Genomic DNA, 4,426 nt, shown 5'->3' on the forward strand with positions numbered 1-4,426 from the left:
AAGTTGTATACCTAAGCTAGTTCTAATGACACAATAAGCTTCATGAATAAATAAAATATTCTAAGAGTCTGTATAATAGAACTTCTCACACTTCATTTTATTATCCCTAAAGCTCAAAGATTCACGATATTTAAAATGGTAATGCCAATAATAGCAACTAAACAGTACTTTAGAGAGTGTATTATGTAAGTATATTTTGGAGAATTCTTTCAACTTAACAGACTGGTTGTGAGGCAAAAAGATAGAAGACTACCACAATTGAAGGATAACCAGACATTATGGCAAAGGTCTTGAATTCTGATCTCCTTTCAGTTATGAACCAGTCTTGTAACTTGGGCAAGTTACATAACTTCTCTTGGTCTTGGCTACAGTATCAGAAAATTTAATGTTAGACTAAATACGATGACTCTTATACATACCTACACAATTTATTCAGATAGTTTCTTAAAAATACCAGAACTAGATTGTAAAAAAAAAAACAAATTGGCCAGTTAAATCACTAATTTTGAAAATCAAACTCATTTAATCAATTAGATGTACTACTAGTCAAATCCATTTGATAGCTTAGTTTCTATTATTCCAAATTAAAGTACACAGCCACATAGATGAAAATTTACCCAAATATGATCATAAAATTAAGCATACTATCAAGTGAATAGAGTTTTAAGAAAAATTTTGTAATATGAAATATAATGTATACTTTACTCAGTGATGGTTTCTACATTGAAAATATTATTGCATTCTAAATATTTTTTATATGGTTTGTGGGATTTATTCTCACACAATGTGATGTTTTTAATTGAACTAGGTATGTTTGGTAAAATTATTTATTAAACATATTGAACATTTTTCATATTGAATATAAATGGCCAAAACAGAACTCTTTTCTTTGTCAAACTTAATAAAACAAATTGAGCCTCTATAAAAATCACCTGCACATATAACATCAGATCCTAACCACTTATGTGAAAATGAGCCAAGATTTAATTAAGGATATTGTTCATTCAAAATGATCAACTTATTCATTTATATTTATTTTCGTGTGCTTATTGGGAAACAAATGAAGCTTAGTATCTACATGTGATGTCTGAGTTGAATGTGGAATCCACTTAATTTATGTAAAGAAATTCAACTTAAGAAGAACTGACAGCAACAGAGATCTGGTATATCAATTTGCAACATAAGGTATAAACAATTGTAGGATTATATAGCCTCAAATTAAATCATTAAAGTAAAAAAAGCTGTTTTTTACATATGCTGAGAAGAGACCATTTGTTCATATTGTTTTATATTTTAAACTCAATTTTATTGAGACTATAAGGATATTGATAACCTAGAAAAATAAATTTTGGAGACAAAGTATAAGTAATAATGTATTTTATTATGCTTCATACTCTACATACACTTTATCAGTAATGAAAACAGATATACTTAATGTAATTTGCTAACTTAATATACTTAATGCAATTTGCTAACATACTGCAAAGTAACCATAATTTGCACAGATGTTAAAATATCGCAGTATACATTATGCTTTTAACCCCAAGTATGGGAAGATTTGCATTGCGTTGTCATACTCTCTCTCAGTGTACATATTCTAACATACTACTAATATTTGAACGGGTTTATTAATCTCAATTTCAACAACCTCAGTAGAGACGGAATCATCTTGGCGGATGGGAGGCAGGACTAGATTGCAACTCCCACTCAGAGCGGCATGTGGAGGCTTGCATCATGAACTTTTGCTCCAGAACGACTGCAGGAATACATTAGGAAAGCTAAGAGAACCCACAGATCCTCTGAAGAAAGCGAATTGCTCTTGCAGGACTCAGGAGATACACCAAATATTATGAATGCCCTACCTATGGAGGCAGGAAAGGGAGGTCATCTACCCTGGAACACACACCCCCATTAGGGAACCTGAACATCTAGATTATGGGAGAAGATTCTGACCTTACCTGGAGCTAAGTCAATTTAGAGAGCAGTGTGAAATACAAGGGTAGAGGAAGCAGTGGGAAAAGCCCTGTGGGCATGCTGGATCCCCTAGCAAGCCATTTCTGCCCTTCCTCACAGGGGTCCTTGGGAAGGACAGCCAGAGGCACTGAGAAAAGGCCACAGGGAGAAAGAAACCTCCAGCTGAACTTTGTTAACTATTTGAACTGGTTGAGAAGTCTCCTGGCCAGAACTCTGGGGAGGGACTGAATCTGGTATGCGGACTCCACAGGCTGGGGAAGAATGAAAGCCCTAAGTACTTTTGCAGCTGGGAGGAGGGTAGACTGGGGCAAGTTCTCAGCCCCGCTCAGCCACTGTCTGGAACAGACTCAGTGCTGTCTTGGGGGATAAGGTGGGAGTGAAACTGGCCCTTCAGATTGTGTGGGAGCTGAGTGAGGCCTGTGACTGCCAGCTTTATCCCACTTCCCTGACAACCTGCATGACACAGCAAAGACAGTCGTAATTCTCCTAGGAACATAACTCCATTGACCTGGGAACCTCACCCCCATCCCCGACAGCAGCCACAGCAAGATCCGCCCAAGGAGAGCCCAAGGTCAGACATGCCTAGCCCTGCCCCTCTTGTTCCTTCCCTATCCACTCTGGTAATTGAAGACAAAGGACATATGATCTTGGGAGTCCTAGGGCCCTGCCCACTGCCTGGTCCTCCCCATACTATCACAGCTGATGCTCTCTTGAAAGCACCAACTCCCTACAGGAGGCCAACCAGCACAAAAACAGTGCATTAAGCAACCCAAGCCAAGGACTCTCACAGAGTCCATCTTACCCCCCTGCCACCTCTACTGGAGCAGGTGCTGCTATCCATGGCTGAGAGACCCACAGATGATTTAAATCACAGGACTCTGCAGACAACCACCCCCAGTACCAGCCTGGAGCTGGTAGTCTTGCTGGGTAGCTAAATCCAGAAGAGAGATAACAATCATTACATCTTGGCCCTCAGGAAGCCACATCCCTACGAAAAGGGGGAGAGTACTACATCAAGGGAACACCCCATAAGACAAAAGAACCTGAACAACAGCGTAGAGCCCTAGAACTTCCCTCTGACAGAGCCTACCCAAATAAGAAGGAACCAGAAAAGCACCTCTGGTAATATGACACAACAGGGTTCTTTCAGACCCCCCAAAAATTACACTAGCTCACCAGCAATGGCTCCAAACCAAGAAGAAATCCCTGATGTACCTGAAAAAGAATTCAGAAGGCTAGTTATTAAGCTAATCAGGGAGTCACCAGGGGAAGGCAAAGCCCAATCTAAGGAAATTGACAAAAAAAGATGCAGGAAGTGAAGGGAGAAATATTCAATGAAATAGATAGCATAAATAAAAAACAATCAAAACTTCAAGGAACAATGGTCGCACTTATAGAAATAACAAATACTCTGGAATGTCTCAGTAATGGAATCAAACAAGCAGAAGAAAAAACTTCAGAGATCAAAGACAAGGTCTTTGTATTAACCCAATCCAACAAAGGCAAAGAAAAAGAATAAGAAAATATGAACAAAGCCTCCAAAAAGCCTGGGATTATGTTAAATGACTAAACCTCAGAATAATTGGTAGTCCTGAGGAAGAAGAGAAATCTAAAAGTTTTGGAAACATATTTGGGGGAATAATTGAGGAAAACTCCCCTGGCCCAGCTAGAGACCTAGACATCCAAATACCAGAAGTTCAAAAAACACCTGAGAAATTCATTGCAAAACAATCATCACCTGGACACATTGTGATCAGGTTATCTAAAGTTAAGATGAAGGAAGAAATTGTAAGAGCTGTGAGGCAAAAGCACTAGGTAACCTATAAGAGAAAACCTATCAGATTAACAGCAGATTTCTCAGCAGAAACCGTAGAAGCTAGAAGGGATTGGGGCCCTATCTTCACCTTCCTCAAACAAAATAATTATCAGCCAAGTATTTTTTATCTAGCAAAACTAAGCTTCATAAATGAAGGAAAGATATAGTCTTTTTCAGACAAACAAATGCTGAGAGAATTCGCCTCTACCAAGCCTGCTACGAGAACTGCTAAAAGGAGCTCTAAATCTTGAAACAAATCCTAGAAACACATCAAAACAGAACCTCTTTAAAGCATAAATCTCACAGGACCTATAAAACAAAAATACAACTTAAAAACCCCAAAAAACAAAAAGCCAAGGTATACAGGCAACAAATACCACGATGAATGGAATGGCACCTGACATCTCAATACTAAGGTTGAATGTAAATGGACTAAATGCTCCACTTAAAAGATACAGAATTGCAAAACAAATAAGAATTCACCAAACAACTATCTGCTTCCTTCAAGATACTCGCCTAACACATAAGGACTCACATAAACTTAAGGGAAAGAGGGGGAAAAAGACATTCCATGCAAATGGACACCAAAATTGAGCGGGAGTAGCTATTCTTATATTAGACAAAAGAAACATTAAA

General features: G+C 38.3%; 1 annotated feature.

Moving 5' to 3' along the window:
* Positions 2,121-2,321: a silencer, noted in NCBI's record as "peak1422 fragment used in MPRA reporter construct". NCBI's record gives its function as "represses an SCP1 promoter by STARR-seq MPRAs in K562 erythroleukemia cells {active_cell/tissue: K562}" and the evidence as "EXISTENCE:reporter gene assay evidence [ECO:0000049][PMID:32103011]".

The sequence above is a fragment of the Homo sapiens genome, chromosome 11 (assembly GCF_000001405.40).
Source record: "Homo sapiens chromosome 11, GRCh38.p14 Primary Assembly".
Taxonomy (NCBI): Eukaryota; Metazoa; Chordata; class Mammalia; order Primates; family Hominidae; genus Homo; species Homo sapiens.